Consider the following 20,575-nt stretch of genomic DNA (forward strand, 5'->3'; position numbering starts at 1 on the left):
TCTCTTGGATTGTCTAGGAAGATGAAACCATAACATCTGCCAATAACGACTGTTGTTTCTTCTTTCTATTATTTCTTTGGCCCTTTTTTCTTTCTTTCTTTCTTTTTTTTTTTCCCCAAGACGAGTCTTGCTCTGTCGCCCAGGCTGGAGTGCAGTGGTGCGATCTTGGCTCACTGCAACCTCCGCCTCCTGGGTTCAAGCAATTTTTGTCCCTCAGCCTCCCAAGTAGCTGGGATTACAGGTGCGCGCCACCAAGCCTGGCTAATTTTTTTGTATTTTTAGCAGAGACGAGGTTTCATTATGTTGGCTAGGCTGGTCTTGAACTCCTGACCTCGTGATCCGCATTCCTCAGCCTCTCAAAGTGCTGGGATTACAGGTGTGAGCCACTACGCCTGGCCTCCTTTTTTCTTTCTTTTTTTTTAAGTTTTTTTTTTTTTAATTATACTTTAAGTTCTAGGGTACATGTGCATAATGTGCAGGTTTGTTACATATGTATACATGTGCCATGTTGGTGTGCTGCACCTGTTAACTTGTCATTTACATTAGGTATTTCTCCTAATGCTATCCTTCCCCCCTCCCCCCACCCCACGACAGGCCCCAGTGTGTGATGTTCCCCATCCTGTGTCCAAGTGTGCTCATTGTTCAATTCCCACCTATGAGTGAGAACATGCAGTGTTGGTTTTCTGTCCTTGCAATAATTTGCTCAGAATGATGGTTTCCAGCTTCATCCATGTCCCTACAAAGGACATGAACTCATCCTTTTTTATGGCTGCATAGTAGTCCCTGGTGTATATGTGCCACATTTTCTTAATCCAGTCTATCATTGATGGACGTTTGGGTTGGTTCCAAGTCTTTGCTATTGTGAATAGTGCTGCAGTAAATATACGTGTGCATGTGTCTTTATAGCAGCATGATTTATAATCCTTTGGGTATATACCCAGTAATGGGATGGCTGGGTCAAATGGTATTTCTAGTTCTAGATCCCTGAGCAATCGCCATACTGTCTTCCACAATGGTTGAACTAGTTTACAGTCCCACCAACAGTGTAAAAGCGTTCCTATTTCTCCACATCCTCTCCAGCACCTGTTGTTTCCTGACTTTTTAATGATCACCATTCTGACTGGTGTGAGATGGTATTTCATTGTGGTTTTGATTTGCATTTCTCTGATGGCCAGTGATGATGAGCATTTTTTCATGTGTCTGTTGGCTGCATAAATGTCTTCTTTTGAGAAGTGTCTGTTCATATCCTTCGCCCACTTTTTGATGGGGTTGTTTGATTTTTTCTTGTAAATTTAAGTTCTTTGTAGATTCTGGATATTAGCCCTTTGTCAGATGGGTAGATTGCAAAAATTTTCTCCCATTCTGTAGGTTCCCTGTTCACTCTGATGGTAGTTTCTTTTGCTGTGCAGAAGCTCTTTAGTTTAATTAGATCCCATTTGTCAATTTTGGCTTTTGTTACCCTTGCTTTTGGTGTTTTAGACATGAAGTCCTTGCCCATGCCTATGTCCTGAATGGTATTGCCTAGGTTTTCTTCTAGGGTTTTTATGGTTTTAGGTCTAACATTTAAGTCTTTAATCCATCTTGAATTAATTTTTGTGTAAGGTGTAAGGAAGGGATCCAGTTTCAGCTTTCTACATATGGCTAGCCAGTTTTCCCAGCACCGTTTATTAAATAGGGAATCGTTTTCCCATTTCTTGTTTTTGTCAGGTTTGTCAAAGATCAGATGGTTGTAGATGTGTGGTATTATTTCTGAGCCGGCCTCCTTTTTTCTTGTTTTACTGCATTTGCTAGTATCTCCAGGACAATGCTATATAGTAGCATGGCCCGTGGGCATTATTTTTGTAATATTTAATAATTCAGTGGGGGATGTGTCTAATGTTCCCCCATTGAGTATGATGTTTGCTATGTGCTTCTGGTAGACACCAGTTCTCATTCCTCTCAGTGCCTCAGAGCAGAACAGTAACAGGTTGTGATGGAAGCTGTTTTCCCTGTTTTACAGAAAAGGAATGAAAACTTAGGAAAGCTTGGTAACTTGCCGTGCCTGCTAAGGCAACGCAGCCGATGACCCTCAGTGAGCTCTTGCTCCGGTTGGAGTGTGCAGGTGCCGTCCTTCACGGCATCTATCCCTCAGCCCTGTGCCCTTACGTGAACTGCTCAGGACATTTAGAGGGCTTTGTGGGCCTTAGCACCTACACAGCCATTCAGTCCTCATACAGAGAAGGACACTGAGTCTGGAGGGAGGAGAAGCGGCTGTCAGTGGTAACGCTGAGATGTGGACCCAGGCCCATCAGGCTCAGAGGCACTCATCTGTTACTTGTTGCCCTCAGCACGAATGTCTAGGCATTCTGTATAAACTTGACTTAGGAATGTCACTTTAGACCTCAGGGGCAAACGCTTGGGTTAATTACACGTCTCATTTCTTGGCATGGCTCTTATTATCCTCTTTGCAAGGCTCTTGTTTTATTTATTTATTAATATTTTATTTCCTTTCATCTTCTTTCTCCATTCCCATCCACCACCTCCATCTGCATAGCTGACAGTTTCATCTCATCAGTGTGTTTTTTGCTGTCATGTGTTCTTGCAAAGTATGCATTGTTATTTTATGTGTGATAGTTTAAATTTGTATAGTAGAACTGATTTGGCTTCTTCCTTTTCTCCCTTAGTGCTGTGTTCCTCCACACTTCTGTGTGTTGGTGTGTCCAGCTCATGCTGCTGTGTGTGTATCCAGTCTATTGTTTCTGACAGCTCCTGCATGTAGCATGGCCCCAGATTTTCCTCATCCTCCCCCCCAGTGATGGACACCCAGGCTGTCCGCAACCCCTTTCCACAAATAACACTTGACATGGGCATCCTTGTACTGGTTGTGTTACGGGCTGTCGTGAGGACTTCCCTGGCACAGACACCAGGAGCAGAGCGTCTGGGTCCTTGATGTTGCGTGTGCTTAACTGTATAAGTGGTGCCACATCTCTCCAGCTGGCCGCAGTCTCCTCTCCCACCCTAGACACATGGACATGCAGCAGTGTAGAGGAATACAGCACTAAGGGAGAAAAGGGGGTCCCCACCTCTGTGTGGCATTTCTCACTCTTACTCATATTTCTAGTTTAATGGATATTTTATTATTATTTTTTGAGACAGAGTCTCATTCTGTCACCCAGGCTGGAGTGCAGTGGCTCCATCTCAGCTCACTGCAACCTCCAACCCCCCTCCCCATCCCTGGGCTCAAGCCATCCTCCCACCCCAGCTTCCCGAGTAGCTAGGCTAACTTTTTGTGGAGTTGGAGATTCGCCATGTTGTCCAGGCTGGTCTCGAACTCCTGAGCTCAAGTGATGAACCCACCTTAGCCTCCCAAAATGCTGGGATACAGGCGTGAACCACCACATCTGGCCTAAGGAGTATTTTACTTTGGAGTTCTTTTTTCTCTTGTTAATTTTCAGGAGTTTATTATGTTTTGTAGATGGCAATTCCTTGTCAGTTTTGGACATTCCAGAAACATTTCTTAATATGTCAGCAGTCTATTATATGTGTACATGGAGTTCTTTGTTATACATATTGGAATTTTGAGGTAATCAAATTCATTAATTTTTGTAACCTATAGCCTGTGCCTTTGAGTTTTAAGACATTCTCCCCTACCTTTGACTCCTTCCAGCCTCCCCAGTCACAAATACAGTTGAACCTTGAACAACTCAGGAGTGAGGGGTGCTGACCCGACTAACAGTCAAGAATCCACATGTAACTTTTGACTCCTCAAAAACTTAACTAATAGCTGACTGTTGACAGGAAGCCTTACTGATAGCACAAATAGTCAATTAACACATATTTTATATGTTATATATATTATATACTGTATTTTTTTTTTGAGATGGAGTTTCACTCTTATTGCCCAGGCTGAAGAGCAGTGGAATGATCTCAGCTCACCACAACCTCCGCCTCCCAGGTTCCAGTGATTCTCCTGCCTCAGCCTCCCGAGTAGCTGGGTTTACAGGCATGCGCCACCATGCCTGGCTGATTTTTTGTATTTTTAGTAGAGACGGAGTTTCTCCATGTTGGTCAGGCTGGTCTCAAACTCCTGAACTCAGGTGATCCTCCTGCCTAGGCCTCCCAAAGTGCTGGGATTACAGGCATGAGCCACCGTGCCCGGCTGACTATATTCTGTATTCTTTTCTTGTTGTTGTTTGTTTGTTTGTTTTTTCCCCGGGACGGAGTCTTGCTCTGTCACCCAGGCTGGAGTGCAGTGGCACAATCTCGGCTCACTACAACCTCTGCCTCCCAGGTTCGAGCAATTCTCCTGCCTCAGCCTCCTGAGTAGCTGGGATTACAGGTGCCTGCCACCGTGCCTGGCTAATTTTTGTATTTTTAGTAGAGACAGGGTTTCACCCTGTTGGCCAGGCTGGTCTTGAACTCCTGACCTCGTGATCTGCCCGCCTCAGCCTCTCAAAGTGCTGGGATAACAGGCATGAGCCACCGCACCCAGCCTATATTCTGTATTCTTAAAGTAAGCTTGAGAAAAAAAAATGTTATTAAGAAAATCGTAAGAGAAAATATGTTTACTATTCATGCAGTGGAAGTGGACCATCATAAAGGTCTTCATCCTCACTGTCTTCAGGCTGAGTAGGCTTAGGAGGGGGAGGAGGAGGAGGGGCTGGTCTTGCTGTCTTAGGGGTTGCAGAGGTGGAAGAAACTGCTGTGTTGTTCCAGGGGTCAAGTGTGTATTCAACATAAAACTTCCGTGAATTTCCTGGATGAGCTTAAACTTCCCTTGCTGCCACTGCTGCTGTTTTCGTATCTCTTGCCCTGTCTTAGCATCTTAGGTTGGGTTCCTTAGAAGCAGAGCCTGAGTTGGGGGGTCTTGTGCATGTGTTGGTTCATTTGGGGAGACCTCTCAGGAGAAACTCTGAGGAGTGAGGGATGAGAGGTGGACAAAGCTGTGGCCCACGTGAGGTCTGACCCTGTGGGAGCTCTAGAGTGTGAGTGGCCCCCATAGAACTGGCTGCTTTGAGAGTGGGGGCTGAGCTCTGGCCCCATGTTAACCTGTTATGGGCTGGGCTCCTCCCAGCCCCCATAGGGAGGACTCCACCTCGCAGACAGTTCACCAAAGACAGTTGTGTTGTGAGCTGTTAGCGACCAGCATGCACAGCAGCAGGGGTGGATGAGTTTGCCTGCCCAGTAAAGGAGACCTGGACAGGCCCCTGCATATCTGCTGGACTTGGTGACTTATGAATGGTGACTCTGCCTCATGTTGCTATCCACAGGCTCCACCAAGGACCTGATCGAGACTTGCTGCGCAGCCGGACAGCAGTGGGCCATTGACAATGACGAGTGCCTGGAGATCCCTGAGAGTGGCACTGAGGACAACGTCTGCAGGTAGGGTGGGCTCCCTGGAGCAGGCGGAGCTGCCCATTTGCCTTCTCCAGAACCCTGCTTGCCTAGGACCCCAGGCTCCAGGCAGCCCGGAGAGAGTGCACCTTCACATGCCTCTGGGGCATGAGGGTGATTGGGTGTGGCTGCCGTGCGCCATCTGGCCAGGCTTTCTCCAGGGGTGGAAAGTCCAAGACTGGTCCTAGGAACAAACCAGCCACATAAATTGGTAGCTGGCCTAGTGAGCAAGATCCGAGGAATGTACAATTTGAAACAAGTTTTAAAGGAGTGCTGTCCCCTAGGAATAGTCGGGTGCTCCCCTCACCACATTCTGCAGTTGCTGCCGCACTCATGCCACTCAGGCTTTCTCTCCTCTGCCCTCTTCCTTTCTCTGCTTTGCTACCCTTGGGTCTTCAGGAGGCTGGCCTCTCACTGTGCTCCCTTGCTGCTGTGCTGGTTGTTTCTTCTGACTCTGATACCACAGCAAAGCAATCCTTTATCCCCATGCCTTCCCTTTTCCAGGCCCAGGAGAGCTCTTGGTCAGCTGCTCATGCTTTGTTTTTTTCCAGGGACCCCGTCTAACCTACTCATTTTTCCAAATAAGAAAGATTAAGTTCAGAGAGGCAGTGTGATTCACTCAAAACTACACAGCTCACTGGCAGCATGGCTGGGATTAGACCCCATGTTTCCCAATGTCCAGACCACTCTGCTTCCTATAAAAAAAATTTATGTTCTAACCTTGTCTTTCCCTTCAGCCATTCTACCAATATGGGGCAACTTAGGAGTTAGAGCATGCAGCACTGGGACCCCTGGAGTTTGGGGCTAAGCGGTCCTAGTGCATGCTTGCATCCGTCTTGTGGACGTGTCCCACTTCAGGGGGTGCTGAGCCCTGTCCCCCGTAATCCCCGCCGCCCTGTCCTGGCTCTGGTCTCTGCAGCTGATTTGTCAGCCACCTCTGCCCCAGGCAGCCCAACAGTGACTGGCAGGCAGTGACCAGGGACCCGGAGGCTGTGCTCCTCCAGGCTGACCTGCCAGCCTTTTCTGGGATTAGGTCTCTCTGTCCTCCCCGACCGTTGTGGGGGTGGGGACTCTGATGCCAACCCCTCTCTCTCAGAGGTCATGAACACACATCTCCGAGTCTAGTGGGACCCAGGCCTGCATCTGCATGGTTAAGCCAAGAAATGAAACCCATGCAACCCAGTGGAGGTTGTGCCGGCTCTGCCACCTGCACCGGCTCCCTTGCTGTGGACCTTGGGCAGAGCTTCCCTCCTCTGAGCCTCACTCACTTTCCACTCTGGGAGGATGAGGTGGGCGACTGGGGGCTAAGTTACCCCCTCTGTTTCAGGACAGCCCAGAGGCACTGCTGTGTCTCCTACTTGCAGGAGAAGAGCTGCATGGCCGGCGTCCTGGGAGCCAAGGAGGGTGAGACCTGTGGGGCTGAGGACAACGACAGCTGCGGCATCTCCCTGTACAAGGCAAGCCTGACCTGTGGCCTTCAAGGCAGGGTGGGGTGGGGCGGGGCGGGAGGCTGGCCTGGGCCTGAAGGTCCTCGTGGCCCAAGAAGTTAGGCTGTCCTTGGGGCTCCTCCTGGGAGTGACCCTCACGCCTGGGGTGGAAGGACTCTTAATCTGCGCAGAAAACATCATCAGTTATTATACTGACCAATTAATTCACAGAATATTTGTAGAGCACCACTGTGTGCCCTGGGCATCAGGGATGTAGCAGTGAGTAACACAGATGGCAATTCCCGCCCTCCCAGGGATTTCTTTCTGGCCAGGAAGACAGAGGAAGATCACGATGAATATTTTAGCACCTGGCGTGGTTGCAGGCGATTGTGCTAAGGAGAAAAACTTAAGGAGAGGTGGGATAAGTAGTGTCAGGGCTGGGGAGGGACTGCAGTATCAGCTGACAGTGGCCAGGGACAGCCTCACTGAGGAGGGGACATTTGTGCAATGCCCGGGGTGGGGGATGTCTGTGAAATGCTTTCAGGCAGAGTGCAGCACATGCAAAGGCCCTGGGGTCAGAGCCTGCTTGGCATGTCTAGGCTGTGTGGCTGGAGTGCATCGAGTGACAGGGGGCAGGTGGAGCTGAGCCCAGAGAGATGTCAGGGCTCCTGGCCATCATCGGAAGGACTGTGGTTTGACTGTGGGTGAGGTGGACCCCATGGGGAGTTTGAGGGTCTCTTCTGGCAGTTGTGGGGACCGGTTATTGAGGGTGTTTCTCTCACATGGGAGGTGGGATTGGGATGGGGTAAAACCCCACCAGGCAACAGTGGTGCAGAGAACAGTGTGAACTAACACACAGGCGAGGACGTTGGGAAATGGGGTGTGTGGTCCAGTGGTCTGGCAGCAGTAGAGACAGGCCACCGGGAGTCCTCAGGCTGGACCATAAAGGACAGTAAATGCTGAGAGCTTTCGGCTTCAAGCAGTGTCTGTAAAGCCGTGGGAGGGATTTGCAGCAGGAGATCAGTTTGTCTACTAGAGCTCATGGTGGCCACTGGCGGACAGGGTGTCAGTTTGGCTACAAGTAATGGAAAACTTCCTGGAACACTGGTTTTTCTCTCATATGCTGCAGGCTGGAGGAAGGCAGGGCTGAGTTAGAGGAGTGAGAGGCTCCATGGTCATCAGGAATGGGGCACAGGCATAGTGGTCTTGCCCTGCCAGCTCTCATTTGCCACCTCTTGGTCCAGGATGAACTCCAGAAAGGGGCAGGAGAGCCCCCTTGTTTTAAATTATTATTATTATTATTATTATTATTATTTTGAGACAGAGTCTCTGTCACCCAGGCTGGAGTGCAGTGGTACGATCTCGTCTCACTGCAACTCCACCTCCCGGGTTCAAGCAATTCTCCTGCCTCAGCCTCCCGAGTAGCTGGGATTACAGGCACCTGCCACTACGCCCAGCTAATTTTTTTGTGTTTTTAGTAGAGCATACGCCACCATGCTTGGTTTTGTATTTTTACTAGAGATGGGGTTTCACCACATTGGCCAGGTTGGTCTCGAACTCCTGACCTCAAATGATCTACCCACCTTGGCCTCCCAAAGTGCTGGGATTACAGGCATGAGCCACTGCGTCCAGCTGAAATTAGTTTTGATCATGGTGAAATACACATGATGTAAAATTGATCGTCTGAACCATTTGTAAGCGCACAGCTCAGTGGCATGAAGCACATTCACACTGTTGCGCAGCCGTCACCACCAAGCACCCAAGGAACTTTCTTATCTTCTCAAGCTGAAACTGTTCCCATTAAACACTAACTCCCATTCCCTCTCCCTGTAGCTCCTGGTAACCACCATTCCGCTTTCTGTCTCTGTGGGTTTGACTCCTCTAGGGAACTCATGTAAGTGGAATTATACAGTGTTTGATCTTTTGTGTCTGGCTTATTTCACTTAGCATAATGTCTTCAAGGTTCATCCATGCCATGTGTAGCAAATGTAAGTGTTTCCTTCCTTTCTGAGGTGCAATAATATTCCATTGTGTGGACAGACCACATTTTCTGTATCTGTCCATTCATCGATGGACACTTGGGTTGCTTCCACCTTTTGGCTATTGCGAATAGTAATGCTGCTGTGAACATGAGCAGAAGAAGAGCTCCCTTTTTTGAGGGCAGACTGTAGTTCTGCTTAGATTTCATTGGCTGGAGCTTCATCTCCTGGCTACATCTAGCTGCAAGGAAGACTAGGGAATGTAGTGTCTTTATTCTGGGAGGTCAGGTGCCCCAGTGAACATGAGAAAAAAGGGAAACAGACATTGGGATGGATAGCTGGCTGTCTACAGCAGAGGTGAGGGCAAACTATGACAGTGGCACAGTTTCAGGAAACCTTCCAGAAGGGACCTCATCCTGACTGAGGAGCGGGAGAGGGAATTGAAGAAGCCCAAGGTCTCAAGCCTGGGTGATGGTGACAGAGACCGCTGGATGGTTCTGGCATTTGGGAGAGGATTTTGACTTCAATTTTGGTCATCTTGGGGTCAATTTTTTCCTTAAAACAACTAGTATTAGTGAGAGGACCCTGTTGACAGGGTCTAGAAACGTTTAGAATCCCCTTTTCTGTCTTTATGTTTGACCCTGGACTAGTTCTCTTTTCTTTTCTTTTTTCTTTTATTTTCCTTTTCTTTTCTTTTATTTTCCTTTCTTTCTTTCTTTCTTTCTTTCTTTCTTTCTTTCTTTCTTTCTTTTCTTTCTTTTTCTTTCTGTCTGTCTGTCTCTCTGTCTGTCTGTCTGTCTTTCTTTCTTGACGGAGTCTCGCTCTGTCACCCAGGCTGGAGTGCAGTGATGCCATCTCAGCTCACTGCAAGCTCCGCCTCCCAGGTTCATGCCATTCTCCTGCCTCAGCCTCCCGAGTAGGTGGGACTACAGGTGCCCGCCACCACGCCCGGCTGATTTTTTTGTATTTTTAGTAGAGACGGGGTTTCACTGTTTTAGCCAGGATGGTCTCGATCTCCTGACCTCGTGATCCACCCACCTCGGCCTCCCAAAGTGCTGGGATTACAGGCATGAGCCACCATGCCCGGCCAGTTCTCTTTTCTTAGCCTCAGCTTTTCTATCTATAAAATGAGGATAATAATCCATGTCTTTTTGGGTGGTTGTGGGGATCAGAGATAATGCAAACTAAGTGTTAAGTATGTGATGGGCCTTCATTAGTGGGAAGTGTTCAACACTGAGAGATGCAAGAATAGAGTATCAGTTAGCTGTTGCTGGGTAACATACCATCCAAAACCTAGTGGCCTGTTGCTGGCTTAATGCATGAATTTGTGGTCAGCTGAGTACTTCTGCTGACCTGAGCCACGCTCAGCTGATCCTGGGGGCGGGGGTGAGTGCTTGCTTATGTGGCTGCTGTCAGCTGACGGCTCCACTGGAGCTAGATGACCTAGGATGGCCTTGGCTGGGATGACTTGTTTCTGCTCCCTGCAGTGTCTCAACCCCCAGCAGGCTAGCATGGGCCTGTTCAGTTATGATGTGCAGAGTTCCAAGAAAATAAATAGAAGCATTCAAGGTCTTTTGAGGCCTAGGCTAAGAACTGGCACACCATCATGTGTATCTCATTCTATTGGCCAAAGCAAGACAGAAGGCACAACCAAGAGGTTGGGAAATACACACTTTCTCTTAATAGAAGCAGCTGCAATATCACATTGCAAAGACAGTGAACACAGAAAAGATTGAATAATTGTTGCCGTTATTGCAACCAAAATACTACTGTATTTTAAAATAAATAAAACCAATTTATTTTTGAAGAAAAGCAGCCTGGGCTAGCGTAGATCTACATCTTTAGGAACCTAGTCTTCTATTTTTATGTTTAATTATCTTTAACTTGTAGCTTCCATCTTCAGGGTCACTTCATGGCCCAAGTTGGCTGCTAAAGCTCCAGCCATCACATATGTGCTCCAAGAAGGAGAAAGAGGGGGAGCAAAAACGATGTACTTGATTCAAGTAGAGTCATCCCCAGTTTAAAGCCCTCCTGAAGGCTCCGCTGAGTGAATCTAACTGCAAAGGCCCCTGGGAAATGCCATCTTTTAACTGACTTGAATAGAATTGGGGTTTGCTAGTAAACATGAGGGGATAATGAGTGTGGCTGGGGGGTTATAGTTCCTTCAACTAAAGGCCATTTACTTGTTATCTGTTTCAAAAGACTTACATTAGTCCTACCTGTGCCAGACTTGGGAAATAGAGGCAGAGGACCCCTCTGCCCTGGGAGAGCGCATAGTCTGGCAGAGGAGATAAGATAATGGTGAATTCATCTCCATTTATCAGTCCCTCCCCTGAGCCTAGCTCCAGGCTGGGGCCAGAGATTGGGCAGTGATAACTGTCTCTCCCTGCAGCAATGCTGTGACTGCTGTGGCCTGGGCCTCCGCGTGCGGGCCGAGGGCCAGTCGTGTGAGTCCAATCCTAACCTGGGCTATCCCTGCAATCATGTCATGCTCTCCTGCTGTGAGGGTGAAGAGCCTCTCATAGTACCTGAGGTTCGCCGACCTCCAGAGCCCGCAGCTGCACCACGGAGAGGTGAGTGCTGCTCTTCCCTGGCTGCGGCATATAGGGCGAAGGCTGGTTGACCTCTGGCCTTCTGTGGGGACCCTGGGTCCATCATCACCTGTGGCTTGAGACACAAGTTCTGCTCTAAACAGAGTTCTGAGGATGGTGATTTCATTGTTTTCTGTGGACTACCCACTCCACCAACTTAACCACCAACTACCACCCATCACCCTTTCACTGTCCACTCACCACCCTCCCCTCTCTTTGTCTATACATCTTCCTCCCTGTCTACTTTGTCTATACATCTTCCTCCCTACCCACTTATCAGTTTGCTCTTTTTCCATCCATTGCACTTGTCTCCCACCCATCCTCCCATCCTCTTGTCCATCTCTCCATCCATTCATTCATTCACTCCCTCATTCATCCTCTATCCCATCATCTGTCCATCCATCCATCCATCCATCCATCCATCCACCCATCCACCCACCTACCCACCCAATTATCCATCCATCCATCCATCCATCCATCCATCCATCCACCTACCCACCCATCCACCCATTCACTCACCCACCCATCCATCTATCCATCCATTCATTCATCCATGTATCTATCTACCTATCCACTATCCACTCATCCATCCGTTTGTTTATCCATCCATCCATCCATCCCTCATCCATCCATCCATTTATCCATCTACCTACCCATCCATTCATTCATTCATCTGTCCATCTGTCCATCTATCCATCTGTCTGATCATCTATTCATCTATCCATCCATCCATCCATCCATCCATCCATCCATCCATCCACCCACCCATCCGTCTGTTCATCCATCTGCTTATCCATCCATCCATCCATCCATCCATCCATCCATCCATCCATCCATCCATGCATCCATCCTCGTTGTCCTTGGTGTCACCCCCTTCTTCTTCCCTTCTTGTGCTGTAGCCACTGTTCCAGCTGCCATGTCCAGTCCCTGTCCCCTAGCCAGGGCTGTCTCCTGGACCCATGACCATTAGCCTCCTCTGTGCCTGGTGGGTCTGCAGGAGCCTGATGAGGGTGCCCCAGTGAGTCAGCAGATGTCCTTTTTGTACATGGGCCTTGGTGGCCCTGGGGCTGGTGCCGTGAGAGTCCTGGCAGGCCTGCTTTGTTGGTGTCCACATGTTCAGCCTCAACTGGTTGGGGACCAGATGTCCAGGTAGGTTCCAGAACCACCAGCCCAGTTTTTTCGCTGTTCCTATGGACCGTCATCTGGGGCCCCTGTGGATTTGTCCTGGGCACTTCATGGAGTGGGAATTAAAGCCACAGATGAGGTCCTGGTATCAAGATTAAACTCTTGGCCTCTGGAGTCAGGCAGACTTGGTTGGAATCCTAGTTCCTTTGCTTACCTGGGGCAGGTCACACAGAAGGAAGGCTCCTTCTCAGAGCCTTCACTGTGGCATCTGTCAAATGGTCTTGTATTCTTTACCTTGTTCAGTGCAAGGATGAATGATAGGATGCCTGTCAAGGGCTTTTGGCAGTGCCTAGTGATGCATTCAGCATTGCCACCACTGTTGCTGTTACCGTTGCCGTGCTTCAGCAGCTCAGAGGGGGAAGATGAGGCCCAGAGAAGGGCAGGATCTTGCCCCAGGCACATGCCGGGTCTTTGGCACAGCCAGGACTGGACACCTTGGCTCTAATGACTCCCACTTCTGCCCCAGCCTTCCTGATGCCCTGAGTTTTATCTAGACCCAGTCAGCCTTGGTTCCGATTGACCCAGATCTCTGTCACTATAATGCAAGATGGCAGAAGTCTGTGCATAGGGGTTAAGATGCCTGCTGTCCACAGGTGCCAGGGCTCAGGAGATCCTACAGGAAGAGCTCATATCCTGTGTGGTACAGGTGGGAGAACAGATACCTGGATCTCCCATCAGGGTGAGGCAGAGGCAGGGGTGAGTGTGTGGGGGTTGGACCAGGCCAGACCTGGGCAGATCAACCAGAACAGATGTACCAACCACCCTTGCCAATCCAATGTGGGTACAGAGAGTAAGTCCAGTCCAAGGAAGTGCTACTTGCTGAGATTGGCTCTAAGGGGAATGGTTGAGTACTGGTGTGAAGGCCAGGTTAGTACCCAGAAGAGTCTGGCTGAAGGTAGAGTTTGGGAGGAAGTCCGGCTTCAAAAGTCAAAGGCAGGTGGGTGGAAGGGAGTAGGTGGGCAACAGAGCCAGGCACGATCCTGGCCAGAGATCCATGCTTCCTCCTGTGAGGAAGATGCTGGTGAGGGTGAGCTGAGCCTGAATCCTGGAGGTACTGTCTAGCCTGTGGTGTGCTAGGAGGAGCCCTGGGTCCAGGTCTGTCCGCCGCCTGCCTGCAGTGCTGAGTCTCTGCGGGACCAGACCGCCAGCCATCATGGCCCTGCCTGGAGGCACCGGCTGGGACTGATTGGGCTGCAGCTTAATGTAAACACCCTCCATATGAAACACGTTCCTCATACGTGACTTCATGCAGCTACTCTCTCTGTGGGCTCTGCTGCCTGGGTGGGGTGGGAAGGAGGCCCTGGGCTGGCACAGAGCTTAGAGGGGCTGTAGGCCTCCCCCTGAAGTCCTGGCTGCATGCTTTCCCCACAGTTGTCATACAAAGAGCTTCCCAAGGCAGCTCAGCCTCAGGAGCCTTCTTTTCCACTCTCACCTGCTCCCCAGCACAACCCTGGGAGATGGGTTTATTCCAGAATCTGGAGGCACAGAGAGGCCTAGTGCTGCCCAAGTTGACCCAGCTAGGGAAGGCCCAGGTCAGTGGTCACATCTGATCCAATAGAGCCCAGATTTGGAGCCCTTTCTGCTGCTAAGGATGATCCTCCTTGATGTCACTGAGGTCAGGGGTCTGAATCCATTGTAACACTTTAGTGAGAGCTTCTTTGTGGATCTGACCCTGTCCTATTGTAGAGGACTCAGTGATGAAGACTTGGACCTGGCTCTGATGGGTTCATTCTTACTGCTTGAGGTCTGTTCATTCATTTGCCCATCCATTCATCAATCCATCCATCCATCCATCCATCCATCCATCCATCTATCCATCCATCCATCCATCCATCTACCTACCTACCAGTCCATCCATCCGTCTGTTCATCTGTCTGTCCACCCATCCATCTACCCATCCACTCATCCACTCTTTCATCTACCCATTCATCCATCCATTCAGCCCCACACCCATTCATCCATCCATTCACGTATCCATCCACCTACCCATCCTTCCATTCACTCATCCACCCATCCACCCACTCACCCATCCATCTATCCATCTACTCATCCATTCATCTACCCATCCATCTATCCATCCACCCACCCATCCATCCATTCAGCCAAATACTCATTCATCCGTCTACCCATGTATCCATCTATCCACCCATCCTTCCATCTACCCATCCATCCTCCTTCATTCATCCACCCATCCAGTTACAACCCATCCACCCATCCATCCATCCATCCATCCATCCATCCATCCATCCATCCACCCATCCACCCACCCATTCATTCACCCACCCATCTACCCACCCATCCACCCACCCATCCATCTAACCATCCATCCATCCATCCATCCATCCATCCATCCATTCATCCACCCCCCCCACCCCCCCACCCATTCATTCACCTACCCATCCACCCACCCATCCATCTACCCATCCACCCACCCATCCACTCACTCACCCATCCATCCACCCATCCATCTACCCATCCATCTATACCCATCCGTCTATCTATTTACCTGCCCACCCACCCATCTATCCATCCATCTATCCACCCATCCACCCACCCACCCATCCATCCATCCTGCTTCATCCATCCTTGCTGTCTGCTGGGCACACAGAGGTCTTGATGAGGACCTGCACTAGTTTCCCAAAGCTGGTTGTCTCAGCCACCTACTCTGACCAAGCTGGCTCTGTCTTGAGCTCTAACCCCTGTCCTAGTTTCAGAGGCAGAGATGGCGGGCCGAGAGGCCCTGTCACTGGGCACAGAGGCCGAGCTGCCGAACAGCCTGCCGGGCGATGACCAGGATGAGTGCCTTCTCCTCCCGGGAGAGCTGTGCCAGCACCTTTGCATCAATACTGTGGGTTCTTACCACTGTGCCTGCTTTCCTGGCTTCTCACTGCAGGACGATGGCCGCACTTGCCGCCCAGGTAAGGGCCCTGATGGCCAGGGCAGGGGCTATGGGAAGGGCTGATCTTGCCAGGGGGTGTGGCATTCCTGGGGTGCACACTGTGGGGTCCTTCACTTCCTGTTACCCCACAAGTTGGAACCCACAGAAGCCTGAAGCTTCCAGTGATGGGGGATTTGTGAGGCAGGAAAAATAGAAGCTTTCTTCCTGGGGCTCCATCTGCAGGGACCTGGCCCCAGCACCTTGTCCCATATTCGAGCGCAGGGACAGGCTCAGGCCACAGAGGCTCTCACCAAAACCCAGCTATCTCCCCAGTGCTGGGCCCATGGTGATCCTGAGGGATTTCCTCCCAGTCACTGGTCCCAGAATTGATTGGTTTTTAATCCAGACACTCTTTTTCCTTTCCCCCCTCTCTTCTTCCTTGCCTCCTTTCCTTCTACCCCCTCTGCCCCCAGTAGCTGAGATTGATCTTTCCCAAGGTATATGCACACTCCAAACCTCATTTTCCTCTCCTGTGAAATGGGGTGGGGGATTAAATGTCAGTGCCCTGTGTGAGAAGGGCAGGTGCCTGGAAGTGCCTGAGGCCTGGCTGAAGACCTGAGACCTCCCTGCAACCCCCACTCTGCTCTACCCATGACAGAGGGTCACCCTCCACAGCCGGAAGCCCCACAGGAGCCTGCACTGAAGTCAGAATTTTCCCAGGTGGCCTCTAACACCATCCCGCTGCCACTGCCGCAGCCCAATACCTGCAAAGGTAAGCAGTGTGGGTGGTGTCTCCAGGACAGGGCCCAGGGTCCAGGGGGTGGGTCTGGGCTGCTTGCAGGTGGTGAGCTGTCTGGTGCTGGGTATGTGCAAGATGGCCCCTCCAAAGGGTGTGCTTCTGTTTTGGGGATGATGGGCTTACCCTGGGCTGAGTGAGGAGCTGAGGAAGTCACTGGGGAGATGTGGTGTGGGGACAGCCTAGGGCCTGGTGTGTGACCCCAAACCAGCCAGTTAGCTGCTTTTTGTCTCCATTCTTGTAACGTTGAGGTAGTCAAATCCTGGTTTGCCGACCTGTTGTGGAGGCTGTGTTCAGCGCTGTGTAGAAAGTCCTCTTCTTTGTTGTTCTTCTCCTCATTCCCTTCCCCTGCTTTTTTCCCTGCCCCCTTCCCTTTCTCTTCTTCCTTCTCTCTTCTCCTCCATCTCCCCATTGTTCTTGCTGTCACGCAAGGCATGGGCTGGGATCCGAGTGGTGGGGGAGGTAGACCCAGAACGTCGTCCCCGACGCCAGACGGTGTTGGAGCAGACTTAATGGATGAACCTGTGAAAAGGACCAGGAGTGGCGTTCCTTGTCTCCCAGCATCCCTGCCTTCTAGGGGCCTTGTTTCTGTGTCTCACTAGTAGGTTAGAGCCAGGGATGGGGAATGAGCCAGTGTGGACCAAGGCCAGGGCCTGGTGGTCTCTGATTTCTGTGTGGTTTCCTCCAGACAATGGACCCTGCAAGCAGGTGTGCAGCACTGTTGGGGGCTCAGCCATATGCTCCTGTTTTCCCGGCTATGCCATCATGGCGGATGGCGTGTCCTGTGAAGGTGAGTGCCTTGGGGTGCCCTCCTACCTGTGCAAACCTGAGTTGGCCTGTGATGGGGGCCTCCAGGTGGGGGTGGCTGAGACTTAAAACTTGCTGAGTTTGTGCAGGAAGAGTCTTGGCTGCTATGATGAGCACCCCTAGTGGAGCAGGTTAAACAGTCACTCCCTCTCACCGTACGTGCGGTGTATACATGCACTCCAGGGTGGGCCTGCAGTGTGGCTGCATAGGAATGGGGCCCGGGCTCCTCACATGGTGTCGCTCCGCATTTCCCGGAGCAGTGCTTCTCCTGCCGAGTGTGCACCTGAGTCCCTGGAGGCCTGGGTCAAACAGGCAGTCCTGAGATTCTGCCGAATCCCCAAAGATCGAGTCAATAGGTCTGGGTGGGTGGGCCTGAGAATTTGTGCTTCTAACAAGGTGATACGGATGCTGCTGGTCCGCGGACACCACCTCCACTCACCTTGCCCTTGAGGGTTGCCCTGGTCTGTGCAGCCATGTCCAGGCCTGGGTGGAGAGGGGGAAGGGGAAGCAATGCCGGTTGTTTTAAGGGCAGCCAGAAGTGTCCCCGATGGGGAGTGGGAGGGAGGCTGGACAGCAGGAATGCCTGGCTGAATCTGTTCCCAAATGAAGGACACTGGTGATGATTAGCTGTCCAAGGATCACATACCTTCCACCCCCGTGGCCCCGCCTAGGTCTGGGTCTTGTCTTTGTGGGGCCTCTGTGGGCCAGGACCCCCCACTGTAAAATGAGGCCATTGGATCCAGCACCTGCTGGGTTGGTTCCCACAGTGAATGGCTTCTGAAGAACCAAGCTGAGAGGTCTCAAGACTCTACCTCCTGCCTGGGGGCAGGACAGAAATGGAGTATGCAGAGTCTAGGAAGTATGGCAGTTCTGGCTCAGAGATGAGACCCTGGTGGGTGTCTGGGGGAGAACAGAGTCAAGTCTGCCTGGGTGAATACCCACATCCCTCCCAGAAGCTGAAAGCCCGTGTCCATCCCCAGCCGAGACTGTTCTGATGTGGACAAACACCGTCCTACGAGCCCAGAGAGGACAGTAGACTTGCCCAGGGTACATGACGTGGCAGTGACCGGCAGGCCTTCCTCTCCGATGCTGGGGGCAGCTCTCAGGTCCAGGTGGTGCTGGGTTCTCTGGGCCCCGCCCCCCATCTCCCAGGGCCCTGAAGATGTAAGAGCTGCATCTTTTCTGGGGCAGGCCTCCTTTGGGCCCAGCCCTGTGAGGCCCCTCTGCCTGTGCTGCTCATGCAGCCTAGCCCATGTCTGCGCATCCCCAGGACCCCCTCCCTCCTCTGGAAGCCCTGGCAGTGAAAGCTGGGGTCCAGGTTGCAATGGGCATTCAGAGAGGCACCTGCTCTGCGGAGGAGCGCTGCTCAACTCTGCTGCATTGGAAATAATCAAGTGAGTTCCAAACGTGTTGAGCACAAGAATGATTAAAACACTTCCAGATTTTAGGTTTCTCTTGGTGTGAAATCTGCATACAAGGGGCCCACACCCCTGTCCCCTTTTGGATGGAGCACAGACACTCAGTGTCCTGGAGCCCCTGTGGGCCCTTCCCTGGTTTATGTGGCTGGCCTGGTCCCCTAAGTACTGGACTTTGCAAGCTCTCGGGGGCATGGTTCTCTTGGCGCCCGTGGATGTGGGAAGTATCGAGTGCGTACGGGAGGCAGCCTCTGGTCCTGTCCCCACTGTGACCGTGGGCAGCCACCCACCCTCTCTGAGTCTCACCTCACCACCGTCCTTACTGGGGCAGTGGGGACCAGCTCTGCACACTCACACTTGGGCCCAAGGCCCAGCTACACACAGTCAGGCGGGGAGGCCCCAGACAGGCCCCTGCCCCTTGCTGGGTCTCATTCTCCTGTCACTGGATGCTCCGTGGCAGCCCATGTCCCTCTAACAGTCCTTCTGTTTTTCCTCCTGCGGCTGCCACTAGACCAAGACGAGTGCCTGATGGGTGCTCACGATTGTAGCCGGCGACAGTTCTGTGTGAACACCCTGGGATCCTTCTACTGTGTCAACCACACAGTGCTCTGTGCCGATGGCTATATCCTCAATGCGCACAGGAAGTGCGTGGGTAAGCCAGGGCCCCGCCTGCCGCCCGCCGTCACAGCTCTCCGCTCTGCTCCACGCCAAGCCCACCACACTGTGGCCACATGCCAAAGGGCCTGCCCTTTGCATGTGAGCTCTCAGCACAGCCGGCATCTCCGTGCTCTATGTCGTGCCCTTGTGTCCTGGCGTCTTGTCCCGCTTGGCTGCCAGCTCCACCCGGAGGCTGCTTTCCCCAGGGACGTGTCTATGTGTCAGGGAACTGGATGTGTGGCCTGGTGGATCAGGGACCCCACCTGGGCTGCAGGAAAATGAGGGGGTCAGACATGCTGGGAGCAGGATAGGATGTGTGGGGTCTGGAGGCAGGAGGCCTAGCCAAGCAGGACCCCCAGAAGCTCCGTGGCCTTGGATGAATGACTCGTCTTCCCCCAGCTGTGGTTTTCTCATCTGTAGTAAGGAGGCTGTTGATCCTCTTTTGACGATTGTGTGACATGTATGTGGGGTAGCACAGAGCCTGGGCACCGTGAGCATGCTACAACAGCTACGTGCCTTCCCCAGGGTCCCCCGCAGAGCTGGTGGATGGAGGATGGGGTCCAGCAGAGCCCGCCTCGCATACCAGCTTGGCGTTCCTTTGCTATGTGACCTTGAGCAGCGGAGCTCTCCTCTCTGAGCCTGCCTTTCCTCCCCTCTGACCGTGGGGCCAGAGGACTGGGTGAGGGCTCATACCCGGCACCTGGCCTGCACATCGCCCGGGTTGGTGCTCAGTGATGCCTCTTCCTTCTCCTCTCTTAGGCCCCATGTGGGCCAGGCGCCGTGGCTCTGGGAGTGCTCTGTGCGTACATGTCTGCAGCCTCTGATGTTTTCAGAGAACTGTAAACCCTTGTGTCCTCCAGTTTGTGGTCCCAAACGGAGATAGACCCAAAGTAGCTGGGACTCAGGGCAGACGGTGGTAAATGCCATCACAGAGACACGCGCAGAGGGCGAGGTCATTCCAGCTGGTGGCATCGGGTTAGCATTTGGAAATCAGTAAGGGCATGCAGCGTAGAAGGAACAGCTCAAATAAAGGTATAGAAGTAGGATCAGAACCTAGTGCGTTCAGGGCATGTGACCAGAGCCCCGTTTGTCTTCTCTGTGCTTGGGGACCATGTCCAGCCTGGACATATCCCCTTCCTTCCTCGCCTTTCACCACTGGGCACACGGGCCCATGGTGCTGGGCTGAATGCCTGCTGCAGACATGTTTGCCCTAGGCCTCTAGCCGTTGGCACAACATGCGCCTCCTGACCCTGCTTGCCAGCAGCCGGCCAGCTCTTCCTGTCTGGGTTGGGTCCGTGTGTGTACGTCTGGGAAGGCGGATCCCACCAGGGCCCACGAGCACCCCTCCCATGATGCCCTGCCCTCTCGCGGTGCCTGAGTACGCAGGCTTGTCTAGCTGCCTGGAGATAAAACATACTAAAAGGGATCCCCAGGCAGCTGCAAAGTGGGTTCTGGGAATGAAAGAGC

The 20,575-nt window shown here is 51.8% G+C and overlaps 1 protein-coding gene and 1 non-coding gene across 4 annotated transcripts in view, besides 3 other annotated features; both read left to right on the forward strand.

Annotated features, from left to right (window-relative positions):
- FBLN2 (fibulin 2) overlaps positions 1 to 20,575 on the forward strand; it is an 89,280-nt gene that overhangs the window by 53,688 nt on the left and 15,017 nt on the right. For 2 of the 3 annotated variants that reach the window (NM_001004019.2, NM_001165035.2), the window contains exons 3-9: positions 5,250 to 5,361; positions 6,701 to 6,830; positions 11,172 to 11,352; positions 15,264 to 15,473; positions 16,092 to 16,205; positions 16,918 to 17,019; positions 18,963 to 19,103. In NM_001004019.2, coding sequence (NP_001004019.1) covers positions 5,250 to 5,361; positions 6,701 to 6,830; positions 11,172 to 11,352; positions 15,264 to 15,473; positions 16,092 to 16,205; positions 16,918 to 17,019; positions 18,963 to 19,103 — 990 coding nt within the window. The remainder of the gene's footprint in view (positions 1 to 5,249; positions 5,362 to 6,700; positions 6,831 to 11,171; positions 11,353 to 15,263; positions 15,474 to 16,091; positions 16,206 to 16,917; positions 17,020 to 18,962; positions 19,104 to 20,575) is intronic. The other variant, NM_001998.3, reaches the window with a different exon arrangement.
- Positions 10,957 to 11,251: an enhancer, noted in NCBI's record as "tiled region #12774; K562 Activating DNase matched - State 8:EnhW". NCBI's record gives its function as "activates a minimal TATA promoter and a strong SV40 promoter by Sharpr-MPRA in K562 cells {active_cell/tissue: K562}" and the evidence as "EXISTENCE:reporter gene assay evidence [ECO:0000049][PMID:27701403]".
- Positions 15,569 to 15,736, forward strand: SNORA93 (small nucleolar RNA, H/ACA box 93). Its single transcript, NR_132775.1, has one exon. It is a non-coding gene; the product is annotated as a small nucleolar RNA, H/ACA box 93 (small nucleolar RNA).
- Positions 19,175 to 19,748: an enhancer, noted in NCBI's record as "H3K4me1 hESC enhancer chr3:13663487-13664060 (GRCh37/hg19 assembly coordinates)". NCBI's record gives its function as "activates a minimal SCP1, AML or CMV promoter by ChIP-STARR-seq in naive H9 embryonic stem cells {active_cell/tissue: H9 hESC(naive)}" and the evidence as "EXISTENCE:reporter gene assay evidence [ECO:0000049][PMID:30033119]".
- Positions 19,749 to 20,323: an enhancer, noted in NCBI's record as "H3K4me1 hESC enhancer chr3:13664061-13664635 (GRCh37/hg19 assembly coordinates)". NCBI's record gives its function as "activates a minimal SCP1, AML or CMV promoter by ChIP-STARR-seq in naive and primed H9 embryonic stem cells {active_cell/tissue: H9 hESC(naive and primed)}" and the evidence as "EXISTENCE:reporter gene assay evidence [ECO:0000049][PMID:30033119]".

This window comes from Homo sapiens, chromosome 3, assembly GCF_000001405.40.
Source record: "Homo sapiens chromosome 3, GRCh38.p14 Primary Assembly".
In the NCBI taxonomy this organism is placed as follows: Eukaryota; Metazoa; Chordata; class Mammalia; order Primates; family Hominidae; genus Homo; species Homo sapiens.